We start from the raw sequence: 18,351 nt of genomic DNA on the forward strand, positions 1-18,351 counted from the left end.
AGAACAAGCCCACAACACCTATAACTAAGGTATCGTTTCAAAGTTCCCCGCCCCCAGCTGCCTGCCCACCCTACCACAGTAATTTCCCTTTTTGAGGCTGTCGACAATTTTACCCAAATCTCTTTCTACCCAGCCCTTCAAACAGCTTCCCAAGAACTCCCTAGCCGATCATTTTCCTGACTAGAACCCTCAAATTACTAATCCATTTTATTCCTAAAATTATATCACATCATTCTACTGACCAGAGCCACCTAAATTAACTGATCCTTTCAACCAGTCCCACATACCATGCCAACCACCCTGCCCTACTAAGCCATGGGCCCACCACCCCACCATTTCTCACTTACTCTCTATTCCCCTGAGAATCTGTTCAGCACCAGTTACCCAGTGGTAGTGAACTTGGTTTTGATGGTTGCTTTGACAGAGAACATTAGCTTCATAGGCATAAATTGTATGTTCCTGTACCTTCTCAGATGGGCTTCAATTTACACTGAGATCATGAGCATTTTTACCTTAGGGGAATCTTTATCCAGTGGACAACCTGACACCAAACCCATGGATGCACTGATCCTATGGAACCCCAACCTCAAGGGCACCTTGATCACTTGACTCAGAAGGGAACATGGCAACCCCGAGGGAACACATCATCCCCAGGAACACTGACTCTCTGTGCATACTGGCTGTGTAAGAACTCTGTCTCTGTGGGCCCCCTGACCCAGCAAGCAGATTAATCTCAGGTGGCAATGAGTCCCTAAAGCATCTCACTGGCCCGCTGACCCCAGGTACACTAACAGCATTTGCTCCATAGGCATCATTCATTCATTTAGCATTCACTGGGCTTCTATTATTTGCCAAATATTATGTTAGCATTGAATGAAGAAATATACACTTTATGATAACTGGGGGGTAGAGGAGAAGGGGAAACAGGCAGTTTTGGAGGCTGTGTCTATCTCCAGCTGGTGGGCGGAGGGAGGGATTGAGGCCCCTTTCCTCTTAGCGGCAGCTCAGGAGGGATCCCAGGATCTGTGCTTCCATCTGGATCAGGTGAAGCACACACAGTGAGACTGTCTTTTTGCTCTCTGCAGGGGTGGGCACAGGATCCCTCTGTTCCTGTTGCTAAATTGGTCTGCTGGAGGACTGCACTATATTCTGACCACCTCTGTAAGGGACAAGGGATATGTATGACCTTACAATGACTTTGGTGTGCTCTCTATTAGGGCCAGACAGGGAGGGCAAACCAGCTCACAAAAATCTCAGTCTCCTTTTTTGAACAATGATATTTTTATTGTTATGAGTAACATTTATCTTTAAGGATTGGAAAATATAGAAAAAAGAGAAAGAAAAAAATAGAAATAATTCAAATTTGCCCTCAACGATCATTATTGTTAACATGTTGTGCCAATCCCTTTTCTCTACAAACAACTTTTTTTAAAACAGTGTTTTGAATTTTCTATTTTGGCTTTTTTTAAACTAAACATTTTAGAATGATTATTATCCAGGTCATTAAATCTTCAAAAACCTTATTTTAAATAGTTTTATAGGTTCCTGTTATACGGGTAAACTATGATTTACTTAAGTGATTTTTTAGTGTTGGGCATATGGGTTCTTTCTGATTTTGTGCTAATAGATATCTTCCATGGTCGACAACTGTGTGCAGACATAAATGTCTGAGTTTCTGCTTCTTTAGGTCAATCTCTCTTCCCTGCTGTGTGTCATACTTTGTGTCCTGGGAAGCCCATGTCGTGCTGCTCAACTTCTGGGTTTGAAGGAGACCATCAGGAAAATGCACCTGTGGCTCTGCATGCCCCCTTTCCACAGGATTCAGACACTACGGACGGAGGGCATGGGAAACTGAGAAGGGACCAGAGACAATATTATTCCACTTTTTGCCCTCCAAGGCCCATACCATAAACCTCCCCAACTCCTCCATTGCCCAAGCCAGAGCCCTCATGAAAATGAACTCAATCAAATTAACTTTTGAAGAGTAAACGAGATTCTAGGGACGTGGGAACCTGATCGCACTTCCTTTTTCCCACCCACAATCTATGGCCACTCCTGAGCCTGTGGGCTGCTTGAAGGCAAGTGAGGCCTTGACCTCTGCTGGAATCCTAAGAGAGAGAATTATTTAGAGTCTCATGGGTCAGGAGAGTCCTGGGAGGCCAGTACAGAGGGTTTCTAGCAAGGACCAGAAAGCTATAAAGCTGGGAAGAATGTGGCCCACAGAGATCTTTGGACCCATGAAGGGAAGCAAGTGTGGGGGTCTTGCTGGATTCTTGCTCTGGCAAGAAGGATTGAACAGGTAAACTGAGTCTTCCCTGCCCTGACACAGGACAGTGTAATGAGACAAGGGCTTCAGCAGGGCACTGGTGTCTTACCTGGTTCTGCCCCATCCATCCCAGATAGACTATTTCCCCTCCCAGCACCCACAGAGCTGCCAACAACAGCCAGACTCAACCCCAACAAGCTTCACTCCACTCTCCTTAGAACATCGAGGAATCAGTTCTTACTGAAAGTTTACTTGGTGCAGCCTATAACTGTGACTTCAGGTTCTGAGCATATCTGATGAAGAAATTAGCATTTTCCCCACATACTAGATATAGTCAGCATTTCCAGGAGTGTTCAAAGAGAACCCAGGTTGTTTAAGATAGAAATCTAATTGCCAGCACTGACTTGCTTCTCGTTGCAGAGTCTAGGAATCCATGCATGCTCAGTAATGCAAGTACTTGCAAGCTGACAAAATTCCATTTGTTTGTCCCCCTTATTCCCCTTATCACCAGCGAAGTCTCCCAGAAGGCAAGCAGTTGCCTATGGCGATGATCTAAGCTGTGAATTAGATGTTTGTCCCACAATAGTTTGTCTGATCCATCTTGTCTGTCAGTCCTGTGAAGGTATTTTCTGTCTCATTAGGGTCTTCCAGTACTTTGCTTAAGTTTTGTCCCATGATGATGGTCATCAATTTTATAATGGTCTCTGTCCCACAATGTTGGTCCCAACTATAACAGGCCACCAGTCTCAGGAGCATTGCTCTATGCCAGAGGCTTTCTGAGTCATGGCCACTAGAGGACACCCTTACACCACTTAAAGGCCAAAGGTTGCCAGTGGCATTCCCTTAGTTCCTGAGCTGTTTTCTGAGGGCCTGCCCAGAGAAAGCACCTTCTGCTTTGGAGAGGTCAGGATGGTGCCAAAAAAGTGACCAAAGCTTTTGGAGCTGCTTCCCTTGGCCACCTTTGAGCCACAGAGTGATGAAACCAAACCATCTTCCTCTATCCCCACCCCCAAAATCACTCCAAATAAACACATAGTATTTCTAAACTTGGTTTGATAACACAGTTTCAAGTAAATCTATGGCCCACTCCCCTTCCAATCAGATTATAATCTGCAAACCCCTCTATACAGAAATTCTGGAGCTGCTGTTGCCCAGGAGAAACCCTAGCTCAGGACCTGACAACCAAAATGAGGTTCCTGGAGCTTTCCTTCCAGGGAAAGGGTGATGCTTATAAGAGAACCTGGACTTTCCACATGGTACTAGAGTTCTGGACAGGAAAGTGAGGGACTCTTGCCAAATTCTGGAGGTTAGAGAAGTGAGAGGTACAAGATAGGATCCTGTCCAATGGTCCCAGTAAAATTGCTTTGTTGATTGGAAGTGCAAGGGATAGACAGAGGTAATGGTTAGCTGACAATGGGAGCCCCAGATTTAGATATAAAAATTCAGCTGGAGGGAGGACATAGTTTGGGTCCCCTTGCAACAGAACATGTGGCAAAGACTTGGGGAAAAATAGTTTACGTGTGAGGTGATCTGCATTTGATTCCTATGGTTACCATAATAAGTACAACAGTTCACCCTTATCCATGCGGGATACATTCCAAGACCCCCAGTGGATACCTGAAGCCATGGATGGTATCGAACTCTATATATACTGTGTTTTTTCATAAACATACATACCTATGATAAAGTTTAATTTATAAATTAGGCACAGTAAGACATTAACAACAATAACTAATATAAAACAGAACAATTATAACAATATACTGTAATAAAAGTTATGTGGATGTAGTGTCTCTCTTTCTCCCCCCCCCCCAGCCTCTCAAAATAACTGTACTGTACTGCATGTAACTGAAACTGCAGAAAGCAAAACCATGGATAAAACCATGAATAAGAGGGGGCTGTTGTATCATAAATTTGGTGGCTTAAGACAACAGAAATCTATTTTTTCAGTCTTGGAGGCTAGAAGTCTGAGATCAAGGAACGGTCTTTGATACTGCCCCCAAAGCCTTTATTTTTTTTTATTTTATCTATTTATTTTTTTGAGATGGAGTTTCACTCTTGTTGCCCAGGCTGGAGTGCAATGGCACAATCTCAGCTCACCACAACCTCTGCCTCCTGGGTTCAAGCGATTCTCCTGGCTCAGCCTCCTGAGTAGCTGGGATTACAGGCATGTGTCACCATGCCTGGCTAATTTCTTGTGTTTTTAGTAGGGATGGGGTTTCTCCATGTTGGTCAGGCTGGTCTCAAACTCCCAACCTCAGGTGATCCGCCCGCCTCAGCCTCCCAAAGTGCTGGGATTATAGGCATGAGCCACCGCGCCCAGCCAGGACTTCAACATATCTTTTAAGGGGGACAAAACTAACCCATAATATGATCTTAGAAGTAAAAGCAAATGGAGACTAGGATGGGAAGAACTTAATGCAACTGAAGGTATCAAGCTGGTTATTTCTGCAGCAACAGGGACTCAGTCCCACTGAGGAACCTCCAAGGAGCCATGTGACATACCCCTCAGAATTCTCCCACTGAGGGACTGGAAGGCTGGGGAATTTAGCCTGTTACCCCACTGGCTGAAGAATTCTCCTGGGAGGCTGGCTAACTTCCTCATATTTAGAGGCTACAACTACAGTAGGGCTGCATCCTTCCCTAGCTAATTAAGAGAGATTGAGGTGCGATGTGAGCCCTGCGTGTGGGGCTGTCCACCGCCACAGTGCTGAAATCAAGGAGGCACCCCCAGTGTTAGAGAGGGTACCCCCCTTACACTGCTCAGATCTGCTCCTCCCCCACAGCAAGTCCACACTATCACTGACTCTTTTAGAGTGTGGACTCTTTACGAGTATGCAAGCTCTTAAAAAAAGAAAAGGGACTTTCAGGAGTAGAATTAGTGGAATAAACTATAGTCGCCTGTGGCAGCTGGTCCTCAGCCACAATTAATATTCATCATCTCCCCGCTCCCCCTCCAACCCACCAATTCCAGATTTCTTTCATGCCTGGTCAACACTAAAGTTGGTCTGGGCTGCTCTTCCTGAGGGCCTGGGCCCTTGACTGTCTTGCCACTACCCTACTTTGTTGGCTGTGGTTGGCTATGCACCATTATCCCTCAGCATGAAGGCACCAAAAGACACTCCAGCGACCAAGTTTCAGATGAATCCTCCCTGCCTCATTATGCAACAGCCACTTTAGCTTCTCAGAATGGGGGTTGATTGCCAGCTCCAATATGGTAACTTTTCTTATCTGATGGTCCACTCGCAGGAGGAGCCCAAAGTGACCCAGCAATAGAGTCAATGGAAAACTTCTCATGTTAACCAGTGGAAGATTTCTTCCTGAGAATCAGGACCTCTGTTGCAATGAAGCCTGCTGCAGAAATGGGAAGCACAGTTTCTGCAAGGAGCTGGCTGGGGTGATGATGAAAGGGGCCAGTACTATTTCTACCTGTTGGTTACTCTGGCCCTGTGTGTTCCAACACAGCACTGTATATCATCTGATAGTTTAGTGCATATACTACAACTTGGAGGACAGTGACCCAACCCACAGGGTGTCATCCCAAAGCTGGCTCCTTCCCTGGGCTTTAATAAGCCACTCCCACTTTCTACCCCTTGTTTACAAATAATCCAATATATTAGAAGACTCATTTTTTTTTTACAAGACCATTTTCATGATCCTTTATCATAAAATAGACACTTGAGCTGAGACTTCATTATGCAGGATCCCATGCCGATAAATTAGATACTCTATAGCCGGGCGCAGTGGCTCACGCCTGTAATCCCAGCACTTTGGGAGGCCGAGGCGGGTGAATCACGAGGTCGGAAGATCGAGACCATCCTGGCTAACACGGTGAAACCCCGTCTTTACTAAAAATACAAAAAATTAGCCGGGCGTGGTGGCGGGCGCCTGTAGTCCCAGCTACTCAGGAGGCTGAGGCAGGAGAATGGCATGAACCCGGGAGGCGGAGCTTGCAGTGAGCCGAGACGGTGCCACTGCACTTCAGCCTGGGCGACAGAGTGAGACTCCGTCTCAAAAAAAAAAAAAAAAAAAATTAGACACTCTATAAACCACTAGTGAAGCACAACAAGAAAGGAAGATAAATCAGAAAAGGTGTCCATCTTTTCTTTGTCAATAAGGACAAACTGTGCCCCCTCAGGGTGGAAGGAATCTGATGTCATTAACTTATCACCAAGTGCTGGGGCAGTCCCATCAAGGAATGACACCATAACCAGGATCCAGTCTCTCTGCTGCATTCAGCAGCAATGGCAGGTAAATAAGCCTTGGTAAGAGGGAGTCCCTGTGGCTGGGCCTGTACAGAGCTTTCATCTCTGCCTTGTTCCCGCTGCGTTCATGGGCCCAAGCTCTTAGTTGGTTGAGAATTGAAACTGACTGATAATCACCAGACAAATCCTTCTTCCTACCTGCTCATTGAGTGCCCCCTGCACAGCCGATGCTCTCTGATGGGCATTGACAGGAGGCATAAAGCTCTGCACAGTCTTGTCCCACTCCCATTAGTCCATCCACTTGCATCTCCCCTATACCTCCTTCTCCAATATTCCAGTCTTGCTTCGTACAGGCCTGTGACCTCCCAAGTGAGTTGTTCTCCAGTGCCTAGAAGTCCATGTGTACTATTGCCTCAGGCCATGCCTCCCTACATACAAAGTGGATGGCCAAGTGTACTGCCCAAGTCTCTTCCCCCAGGAGGATGTCCCTCTCCACTCAGCTTAAGAACCTCTCCTGAGTGGGTGTGTGGTACAGCTGGAATTCATTTTTGTTTCACACTACCGTATCCAGCCAACCCCTCCATACATCAGGCTCAGAGTTTTTCCTCCTACAGCAGTGGTGGTATGGGACACTCCCACAGGAAGGAGGTTGGAGCAACAGGGATAGATGACAGAGTTTGAATCGTGTCTTCATATAGTTTACTTGTGCCTTCGGCACCTGTCTGGATCCAACACCAAATCATTGTCATCATACAATCATACAATGAATTGCTAGTTTCTGACTGGTGAACTGGTAAACATAAAACACCCAGTTCATGCCTGGGTGAATTTATGACTGGTGTCCCAGATTACTATGTGCAGATCTAGTCACATAGTGTCTTGATGTCCCACATCAGGTATTCAAGCTCTATTAGGGCCCAGGAGCACACTAGAAGCTCTCTCTTTGCAAATATGAGTAGTTCTCTGCTGCAGAAGGCAGGGTCCAGCTCCAAACCTAAAAGCTCCACATGACCTTCCAGAGACTCAGCACAGGGCTGTTATCTAACACAGATACGTCTGGCACTATTGGACTTGCAGGTCATCAAGCCCAAGAGTCAGAGCAGCCGGCACCTCAGCTTCAATCCATTGAAGGTGCCTTTCTTGCCTTAGTCCACTTAGAAATCAAATAAATAGTGGATCATCTGGCCTCATATAATAAATATATTTCAACCTACGTCTCTGAGCCTCCTGACTCTCAAAAAACTGCCAAGGTAGTTTCTTTCTTAGGTTGGGTTTGCAGAAGTAGACACTGAAACAAACATTCATATTCAAGTGATTTATTAAGGAAGTGCTCAGTGGTGTGATAGTAAATGAGTAACAACTGGCTTTATGGAAAGAAAATAAATAAGCTTGATAAATAAATCAAGCATTCAACAATTTCCACAAATACTCTATAGTGAGTACTTCCACCATGACCAGTTTAAAGCTACCAACAGGATATCTCTGAATATGGAGTTGGGAAGAGTTGCTAACAATCAGCTTTTGGAACTAGCCAGTGTCAGCACATCACTGAATGCTGCTAGGGAGACCAGTAAAAGAGTGGGTGTAGGAGGACAAGAAAAAAAAAGGAAGTCAAGCAAGAGAGTGATTTCAGGCAAAGTCTCATAGAGGTCAGAGTTAACACTATCCTACAGGGAAACCCTGGAATACAAGCTACACCTCAACGTTGTCTACACACAAGGCAAGGTTGCTTCGCTCTTTCACTCCTGCACCTGTCAGGCTTAGGCAAGGGCCATCCCAGCATGGAGGCAGATCCTAGGTACCTATGGCTCTTTTTAAAGGTGAGCAAAGTGGTTCCAGCTGTGTGAAGGCAGTCCTTGGAGAAGAGGTGCAGGTGCTTGAGTTTTGGGGGCCCTTGGAATATTCTGACTGATGAATGTTTTTGTATCCCTGGGGCCTTGGGAGAGGCTATATCAGTTTGACCCAATAAGTTTATCCTAATAAAATGACTTAAGATGAACTCTTAGTTTGGCTCTGGGGGTGGGGGAGAGGGAGTTATTGGGGCAGCGAGGCCAGTTACACAGGCTTTGTATGTCTCCATGACTGACTCCTCATTAAGAGCTTTGGACAACAAGGCTTGGGTGAGCTTTTCCAATTGGCAACACCACCATGGGTTGTCACACACTGTTGCTGGGAGAATGAAGTGAGTCCTCATGCAACTCCACCGGGAGGGTTCACTTGGAAGCCTGTGGTTTCTCCTGGCTTTGCTCCAAAGCCTTTCTTCTTTGCTGACTTTACTCTGTATCCTTTCACTGTAATAAGAGATAATGGTGAGTATAACAGCCGCTTCTGAGACCTATGAGTTATTCTAGTGAATCATGGAGCCTGAGCTGGATCTTGGAGACACTGACACAGAATCCTTTCACCATAATAAATCACAGTCATGAATACAATTCTGTGCTGAGCCCTGCGAGTCCTCCTAGTGAATCATCAAATCTAGGGATGGTTTGGGGGACCCCTGACACTTCATTTCCTAAACTCCTGATAAAGAGGGATTTCTGTGTCATCCTGCTACCTAGAGAAAGGAAAGTATCTGATCCCTGATCATCTTCTCCATAAGAACTACCTTGTCTCACCTGGTCCTCGTTGGCATGCCATATACCTCTACTCATGTTTGCCATCCCGGCATCATCTCTCTACTCACCTGGCTCATGTGCTTTGCATCTTCCTCACCCAAACATTGAAGCCCATTTGGGTCCATCTGTCCTCTTAGCCCTTTAATCGGCCTCAAGGGGAGCCCAGAACTTTCTATGGCATTTTCTGACACCAAGCTAAGGAAATGAAACACTGTGAGGACCCTGCCTTCAGGACCATTAGCATTGGTTGACTGGCCCACTTCTGGCTCCAAGCAGGGATGCCCACTGACTTCCCTCGGGCTTCTATTATCCCAGCTCTTCCTATTTGCTGCCTTTTATTATTTACATCATTATAAATATTTGTGGCTTCAGAAAGAATGTGATGTTCTTTCTAAAGTTACCTGGGTAACTCTCTCTTAATACTTACTTGAATTAACTGCCCATCTATTTTCAGATTTAACTGTTTGAAAATTCTTAATAATACATTAAATTAAAAACTCACAATTATACAGACTGCAGCATACAGTCATGCAACTATAAATAGATATGGTAGAATTTCAACTTGCAAAGCACAAAAGGCATTTTTTTTCCTCCAAATTCTACCTAAAATATGCTTGCTTGGCCTGGCATGGTGGCTCACGCCTGTAATCCCAGCACTTTGGGAGGCCAAGGCAGGCGGATCACCTGAGGTCAGGAGTTCAAGACCAGCCTGACCAACATGGAGAAATCCCATCTCTACTGAAAATACAAAATTAGCCAGGGGTGGTGGTGCATGCCTGTAATTCCACCTACTCGGGAGGCTGAGGCAGGAGAATCGCTTGAACCCGGGAGGCAGAGGTTGTGGTGAGCAGAGATTGCGCCATTGCACTCCAGCCTGGGCAACAAGAGCAAAACTCCATCTCAAAAAAAAAAAAAAAAAAAAAGGTTGCCTATATTTGAGAGCAAATATTCAAATATTAATAATAAATTTAAATAACATACCTAATTCATGCTGTGGCAGTTGTACACAGGTTAGAGATGATAGTAACTCACATGATCATATGATCATTGGTCATTCACAAGTTCAGGGATGCCAGAAATGGCATTTAGTGACCTGAACTGAAACCAAATTATAGTTTATAGTTTCTGTCTCTTCTGTCTACAGTAGGAAAAAAAAAAAAACACAGAACAACAACAACAAAAAGCATATAAGTAAATCTTTTTCCAAATTTTTTAAACGCCAGAACCTTAACTCCTGATACTCAATAAACCTTTTCACTGCATAAACAGTCCCACTCTTGCGATTGTCCTTAAAATCTATGGCTTTCAAAAATGGTTGATTCTACCATGAATTTTAAGAGCTTCCCCCACCCCACCCCATCTTAGGAACAAATGGCTGAACATTCACACTGATGACTATCTTTGCCCACGCAGCTTCCAGCTCCCCCCGCCCCTTGCTCAGACTTCCAAATAGCCCACAGCAGGCATCTCCACCATTCACTGAGAGCTGGAGCTATCGAGTGTGGTGCTACATACCTATCTACGATATATGAAGGCCTGCTCCTTCCTCTGGCAGCAGAGTGAGGGATGTTAAGAAAAGTTACCTGTCACTTCTCAGAACTTCTCAGATCCCTATCTGTACTCCTTTCTTCACTTGCAGAAAGACTTGAGGACTCATAGAAGGGCTGAGAGGGTGCTCTATGTGAAGAATCTCCTGCCACTGTGTGTTTGGCAGGCAGAGATAGGAGTGGGGGTTGTCTTAGTCTAGTTAGGCTGCTATAACAAAAATACCATAAACTGGTTGGCTTAAAAACAACAGAAACGGCTGTAATCCCAGCACTTTGGGAGGCCAAGGCAGGTGGATCACCTGAGCTCAGGAGTTCGAGACCAGCCTGGCCAACATGGTGAAACCTTGTCTCTACTAATAATACAAAAATTAGCTGGGCGTGGTGGCGGGCATCTGTAATCCCAGCTACTTGGGAGGCTGAGGCAGGAGAATTGCTTGAACCCAGGAGGTGGAGGTTGCAGTGAACTGAGATCGCGCCATTGCACTCCAGCCTGGGTGACAAGGGCGAAACTCTGTCTCAACAACAACAAAAAACTCAAAAAACCAGAAATTGACTTCTCACAGTGTAGAGGCTGGGAAGTCCAAGATCAAGGTGCCAGCACCATTCAGTGTCTGGTGAAGGCCTGCTTCCTGGTTCATAGATGTTGATCTTCTCACTGTATCCTCACTTGGTGGAAGGGGATTCTCAGGCCTCTTTTATAAAGGGGACTAATCCCATTTCCACCCTCATGACCTAATCACCTCCCACAGGCCCCACCTCCTAATACCATCGCTTTGGGATTTAGGTTTCAACATGTCACTCCGGAGGAGACACAAACATTCAGTCCATAGCAGGAGTGATTTGATTGCAATGTGGTTATTCAGCTGGGCTTCTGAAGATGAAGCCACGCTCTGTGAGTGTGAGAGTAGGGACGGACCATTGGTTGGTGAGGTTATTCAAGGTGCTAGTCATCTGGACGTGAAGCCTGTCTCTCAGAACAGAAATGAGCTTCTTCACCTCTTGACTTTGGGGATTGTCAGGATGTCTAGGAAAGAAATCCGGTAGCAAGTCCACCTTTTGGAATCAGAGTATAGATATCTGCAGATGGCCAGTGGAATGGTGCAGGGTCCCGGGCCCTGCATTTATACATTGCATGTGATAACTCTTTATTTTCCTGAATCTTTCCTCTAAAATTAATGAAGCTAGTCCTTCCTAGCTGCAGTAGAGGATCACAGGGATTGTGCTAATGGGAATGTTAAACACAGAATGTTAAAGGGAAACCATTGCTGCTTGGGGTAAAATGTGGTGGCAGTGGGAATGGAAACTAAAGGGAAAGGGTGGGTCTTAGGAGCACATTGGTTCTAGCTAGCAGAATTTTTTTTCCAGAGTTTTACTCTGGAGATAATGGACCATGTTTTAGCCTGGGAAGTGGTTTCTCTTTATAACTCTCCATCTCTGCTGCAACAAGGGATCTTTCCTTCCAGGTTTTATTCTCTGAGGACATACATTCCCAGGTCCCTGTTCCCCGTTTTGCCATGGTAAGCCCTTGGTCCTAGGTCCTGGTTTTGGGTTTCTTCATTGCTTGCTTGCTTACTGCAGAGTAGCCAGACCCCTAGTTCCAGGACCACTGGCCACACATCTTCACAGTCTGAAGCTTCCAGCCTTCTAAGGTTACAATTTCCTTTAAAATCCAGATAGACTATCTCTAGTCTGTCACCTTTCATCTGGGGAAGTCTAGTATGCTCACTGACATGCCCAGGGATTCTTGGGAAGGGGCATGCCCTCCTGGTCTCCTCTGCATGTGCATTCCTGCTCCTAACTTCTCAGTCTCCAACAAGCTGCCAGGGTTGCCGTCCTCCCACTACACTTTATCCCACAAAGTGTCCCACTGTGGACAGTGCCCCACCTTCTGCATTCCCTAAGCATCATTCATAGGAGGTGGTGGTATATACATACCAGACTTTTTCTGAAAGTTTCGAGGTAATAGAGCAGCACCAAGGAGCAGGAACCAACTTAAAATAGAACATTAGACATCTCCATTCCTCGAGTTCCTTGGCCATCCGTCAGAATTTCTCACCAGTTACTTTCCTTCTTAGAGTCCAGCTTTCTACCATTTCACCTTCTTTTTACTCAAGCTTTTCTCCTGTATCCTCTCTTCTCCCAGTTCCAATCTTACCCCTACAACTCATCATTTAGCTACAAGAAGACAACTCCTGAATTCCTATCGCTCCTCTGTGCAGAGCAGCTCATCTCTGCAGATGAACTGGGACCCTTCCTGCCATAACCAAAGGGCCATGAATCAGCTTTCAAGGAAAAAGAACCAGTTCCTCGGAGATGAATTCTGCCTGCCTGGTTATCTACGGTGTAAAACAACAACCGTTTCACAGTGTTCACAGATTCTCTGGGTCAGGTCAGGGCGGAGCAAGGATGACTTGTCTCTCCTTTGTGATGTATAGGGCTCAGCTGGAAGGCTCAAGCAGTTGGGGATGACTTAAAGGGCTAGGGGCTGTAATCATCTGAAGGCTTCTTCAGTCCTATGTCTGGTGCCTGGCTGTGGGGACTTGAAGGCTGGGCTCAGCTGGGACTGTCAATTGAAGCACCCACATATGACCTTTCCTTGTAGCTTGGGCTTTCTCACAGCATGGCAGCATCACAGTAGTCAGACTTCTAACATGTCAGCCCAGGGGTCCAGTGAACAGGGGATGTTGAAGGGCCTTTCATTACTTAACCTCAGAAGTTACATAGCATCCAGATTAAAGGGGAGGTAACATAGAACTTGTTTCTCAACGAGAGGAATGGAAAGATTTTGTGGCCATGCTTTCATATTGCCAAACGTCCTCCTCCTACAGATTGCTGACGCACCGCTCCTGGCATTGATAAGGCTCAAAAGGTCCTACCTCTACAGCTTCGTTGGGCTTCTCCATCTGCTTAGCCCAGAGTTCTCCTAAGGATGTCTGGGGTGTAGCTTCTCTACAGCTTTCAGCCTTGGTTCAGGACACCTGGCCTTGGGCTTCTTGTTTGTACTTCTAGAGGGTATCAGGATTCGGAAGCGGGGGCTATAAGAGCCAATAGCAGGTTTACTGGCTTTTGTAGCTACAGTGGCCTCACCAAGGCAGGCTGCAGGGGGCTGGCAGCCAGTGCCTAAATGTCAGCCTCAGGAGGCCTCTGTGACTGCTGGTTCTGAGCCAGCATGGATTGGGATGGGGTAGCCAGTCCTTTGGAGAAGGGACATCCTTAGGACTTGTCTTATGACATATGGATCAGGAGCAGTAGCCTCTGGTCCTGCAGTTTCTGTGGGGGACCCCACAAACTCCCACACATTCTCCAGAGGGGGAAGCTCACCTCTGACCCCTACCCCTAAACAATGAAATAACTGTGTTCAAACAGTTGCAACAAGTTGATTCTGGAGTTCCAATCCACTACTGCTGAGGTCATGGGTATGCCAAGAGCCTCACTATCAAGATGTGGTTCAGGAATACTGGCTTTTTGGGGGAGTCAGTCCTTGCACACCAGTCTGTAAACTCCACGAGAGACAGTAACAGTGTCTACCTGGTACATAAAGCATTTTGCTCAGTACCTGGCCCTTGGTAAATATTGGTTAATGATGCGTTTGGGTAGCTCTATGAGCAAGTTGGGTACTTCAGTGGTTATAGAGATGGCTGTATTGCACAGAAATGGTAAACTTAAAAGCTATAAGGACCAAGCAAGTCATGTAAGAGAAAAGCTGGCCAGCTAGGGCCAGAGGCTTATAGAACAACATATTCCCTGCTCCCGGTGCAGAGGACAGCCACTACTGCGCTCTATGCCTGCCATGCTGAAGACAGGCCCAGCACTGGCAGACATTCTTAGTTTTCAAGAGAGGATAAAAAGCTAGATCTATTAAATCTCCCAATTTTTAAGTGTTGTCCATTTATTCAGTGAAAAGCATTTTTTCCCTGTGATTGTGGGCTGGATGCAACAGGTGCACTGCCAGTTGCAACCTCTGTAACCCATAGGGTTAGCTCTAGTTCACAGGAGTTGTCAGGATCCTTGGATTAGCGTAGCGCAAACCCTACCTCCCCCTCCTCGCGCTCCAGCCTCCTGGCACCTCCACCCCACCCTGACCCTGGCGTGAAGTTAGCCAGCCACCCCACAGCAACTGCCCGAAAGGTCCTTCTTAGGCTCTTGTGACCTCTGCAAGAAGATTATACCTGTAAATCCCTAAAGCCATCAGCCTAAGATGGGGGATGGGAAGGGACTGGGGGCCCGGGGCAGACAAGAAGGCGCGAGCTGGCTCTCCCTGCCCCACCCCTCCCCACCCCGCCCCACCCAGGCGGGCTTTCTCGCCATAGCCTTCCCTGGGTCACTGTCAGACAAGCTCTTCCCTGGCTGAGCCAAGACACTTGGACTTTTTCCAAAGGATTTTTAGTAGTAATGAAGAGAAAGCACAAGGGACATAAACAGAACAAGGTGGCCTAGAAATGGGAGTGTTTACAGAGCTTGGTCTTCGGAACCCAAGAGGGCCGTAATAGACCAGATAGCAGGGCCGAGGGAATCCACCCGGGAGAGAGGGAGGGAGTAGTGGATTTCCATTCTCAGTAAGGAGGGAGGCAGTTGGAAGAGAGGAGGGGACGGTGGTTTCAAGACTTCCACCCTGGGGAAGAAGGGACGGGGAGACGGCGGGAATCTAGGAAATTGGGGGATGGCTATTTCCATTCCTGAGAAGGGGGGAACTTGATTGTGGGAGGTTGGCTGAAGACTCCCACGCCGGAAAGGAGGGCGCCTCTGCGGAAGGGCCCCGAGTGGCGACAGCGGATCCGGGACTCCCAAGCAAGCAGGAGCCGGAGCAGCCTCTTAGCAACCCCTGTCCCGGGAAGGTTTGAAAGCAGCGGTGCCCTAGTGACGCCGGAAAAGATGGAGCGGTTGTCATGGCGACGCGGAGCACACCTCGGAAATAAATAAATAAGCGCCCAGGCTGCCGCAGCCGCGCCCCCGCGGGACCCGAGCGAGGGGGAGGGGGCCTCACGGGCCCGGGTCCCCGCAGTCGCGCGTCCCCGCCATTGGCAGAGCCGGAGGGGGTCACCCCCCGGGGGGCGAATGGTACAGTCCTCCGCCCGCGCCTCGGCCGGGCCCGCAGCCTGCGAGCCAGCCCCAAGCCCAGCGCCGCCGCCGCCCGCGGAGCCCCGAGCGGAGCCGGAGGCGGCGATGGAGGGAGTCAGCAGCCACCGGACCCTGTCTTACAGCCGCTGGAGCTATGACAGGTAGGGCGCCCGAAGGGTGGCCCTGCGTGAGCGCCTGCTGACCCTCGATCTCCTGCGGGAGAAGCGGGCCTCCGGGGGCTAGGACTGGCGCGAGCGCCCGACCCCCAGGGTGGGCTTGGGCACCCGGACCCTCGGGCATCCGGGACCCAGAGCCTCGGGTACGGCGCAGCGGAGCTCCAGCGAGGGTAGTGTCCCCACACCCACGGGGCAGAGCTGTCGGAGGAGGGCACGCGGCCACTGGGACTAGCGAGCTGGCACCTCTGCCCCCACCCCAGCTGCCCCGCCAGGGTCGCTCCGCCGGGGGACCCCGAGAAAGGGCGCGGAGGGGGCGCCGGGAGGGGCGGGGCAGGGGCCGGGGTGGGCCCCTGGCGGGCGGGGCGAGGAGGGGGCGCCTTCGGCTCTGGGATGCGCCCGCCGGCGTCTGCGCCCCGCCGGCCCTCCGCAGGGACCGAGGCTGGCCCCGGGCGGAGTGTCCCGCTGGCTGCCGGGGACCCGCGAGTCGCTGCCTGTTCCGCGGGGCGAGATGGCAGCCTGGGCCGGCTGTCTGGGCGCAGGAGCGGCGCTCTCGAGTTGCCAGGCTCCGCGCCCGCCCCGCGGGGATGGCGAGCGGCTGCCGGCGTGGGCGGTTTGGAGCTGCGCTCCCCACGCACTCGTCCTGGAGGAAGGAGTCATCCTCCCAGGCGAAATGAAAAAAATAAGAACGGAGTGAGTTGGTCATAAAGCCGAGTACATTTATTCCTAGGTTATGCCTGTTCTACCTTTTGTTGGTGTGTTAAATGCCACCCTTGTATTTAAAATGAAACCATGATGATAGTAGATAGTAGTTTGTTTGTTTGTTGTTTTTAAGTTTCGTAACCCCAAGTCCATCTGCAGAATTCTGGAGTTAAATTTCCTGACCCATGACCCTAGATGGTGAGGGCTGGAAGACAAACTTCATTTACTGGGCTGCTCTCATCTCCGTGAAGTCCTGCTTCCTGTGCTCTCCTTCCCTTAACTCTGCCAAAAACCTCCCTGCATCTTCGACAGCCCTTGTTTGCCTAGATTCAGAGGAACAGGTGTCCCTCCTGCCTAAGGCTAGTTTGCCTAGGACCCCTCCTCACCTTCCCTGAGTCTCGCCCCGTATTAATCCCATCTGTCTCCTCCATCTGCACCTTCGCCTCTTTACTAGTGATCTCTCTTCAGCCTGTAAACTTATTCACCTGTGTCTTGTTTACCTCCTCGAGATGGGCGCAACTGATCCACGTCTGTTTTTTTCCTTTCATTGCCTTCTTTGGGGAAATATATCGTCTGAATTGGTTAATTCTGTTTCTTCATCAGCCCTTCCTTGCACAGCCCCAGCAAATCTCCTGTCCACCTCATGATTCCAGTGCACCTGCCTTTTTGAAAAGTGGTGCTCTCCACGGAGAAGAACTCTATTATTGGAGTATTAAACTTAAAATAACAAAACCTACAAACTTTGGTTCAGATCCCAAATTCACACATTCATTCATTTATTCAACAAACATGTATTGAGTGCGAACTATATCCTGGGCCCTGGAAATAAGGCGATAAAAAGATAGAATTTCCTCCGGGAGATGAGCTCACAGTCTAGATTATATTAGAAATAAGCAGTGACATATTCTGGGAGAAAAACTTAAAGTTGAGCTAATTCCATATAGTAAATAATTTTTCCCTGCAAAAGCAAACCTATAAAAGCAGAAAGACTTTGGAATTAGATAACCTGCATTCAAATCCTGACTCCACCTAGCTAACTTTGGACAAATTACTTCTCCCTGGGCCACAGTTTCTTGGGGAAGTGTTGTGAGTATTAAATGAGGTAATAGGCCTGGCGCAGTGGCTCACACCTGTAATCCCAGTACTTTGGGAAGCTGAGGTGGGCAGATCACTTGAGATCAGTTTGAGACCAGCCTGGCCAACATGGTGAAACCCCGTCTGTACTACAAATACAAAAAACAAAAACCATTAGCTGGGCATGGAGGTGCACGCCTGTAATCCCAGCTACTTGGGAGGCTGAGGCTGGAGGATTGCTTGAGCCGGGGAGGCGGAGCTTGCAGTGAGCCGAGATTGTGTCACTGCACTCCAGCCTGGACGACAGAGCTAGACTCTGTCTCAAAAAATAAAAATAAATAAATGAGGTAATAAATATAAAGGGCCTATCATATTGCCTGGGACTTAGTAATCATGCAACAAGTGGTATAAATTGCTGTTTTATTAATGCATATTGTAAACGTTTCTGGAACTCTAGTCTTCCACAGAAGCTTGGTTTGAAAATCTTGGCCAGGCGTGGTGGCTCACGCCTGTAATCCCAACACTTTGGGAGGCTGAGGCAAGCAGATCACGAGGTCAGGAGATCGAGATCCTCCTGGCTAACACGGTGAAACCCCGTCTCTAATAAAAATACAAAAAAATTAGCTGGGCGTGGTGTCGGGCGCCTGTAGTCCCAGCTACTCAGGAGGCTGAGGCAGGAGAATGGCGTGAACCCGGCAGGTGGAGCTTGCA

At 48.1% G+C, this 18,351-nt stretch overlaps 1 protein-coding gene and 1 long non-coding RNA gene across 5 annotated transcripts in view, besides 1 other annotated feature; one reads left to right on the forward strand and one right to left on the reverse strand.

Annotated features, from left to right (window-relative positions):
* Positions 1 to 7,771: 7,771 nt before the first annotated feature.
* On the reverse strand, positions 7,772 to 13,003 carry CASC23 (cancer susceptibility 23). The gene is made up of 3 exons (NR_125366.1): positions 12,569 to 13,003; positions 10,068 to 10,224; positions 7,772 to 8,762 (listed from the first exon to the last, which is right to left on the reverse strand). It is a non-coding gene; the product is annotated as a cancer susceptibility 23 (long non-coding RNA).
* Positions 15,691 to 15,760: a silencer, noted in NCBI's record as "silent region_3112". NCBI's record gives its function as "represses an Ori minimal core promoter by ATAC-STARR-seq in GM12878 lymphoblastoid cells {active_cell/tissue: GM12878}" and the evidence as "EXISTENCE:reporter gene assay evidence [ECO:0000049][PMID:35858748]".
* Positions 15,739 to 18,351, forward strand: part of TUB (TUB bipartite transcription factor) — an 86,999-nt gene continuing 84,386 nt past the window's right edge. For all 4 annotated transcript variants that reach the window (NM_001440538.1, NM_001440539.1, NM_001440540.1 and 1 more), the window contains exon 1: positions 15,739 to 15,852. In NM_001440538.1, the coding sequence (NP_001427467.1) occupies positions 15,797 to 15,852 (56 nt within the window). In that variant the 5' untranslated portion in view covers positions 15,739 to 15,796. The remainder of the gene's footprint in view (positions 15,853 to 18,351) is intronic.

This window comes from Homo sapiens, chromosome 11, assembly GCF_000001405.40.
Source record: "Homo sapiens chromosome 11, GRCh38.p14 Primary Assembly".
NCBI lineage: Eukaryota > Metazoa > Chordata > Mammalia > Primates > Hominidae > Homo > Homo sapiens.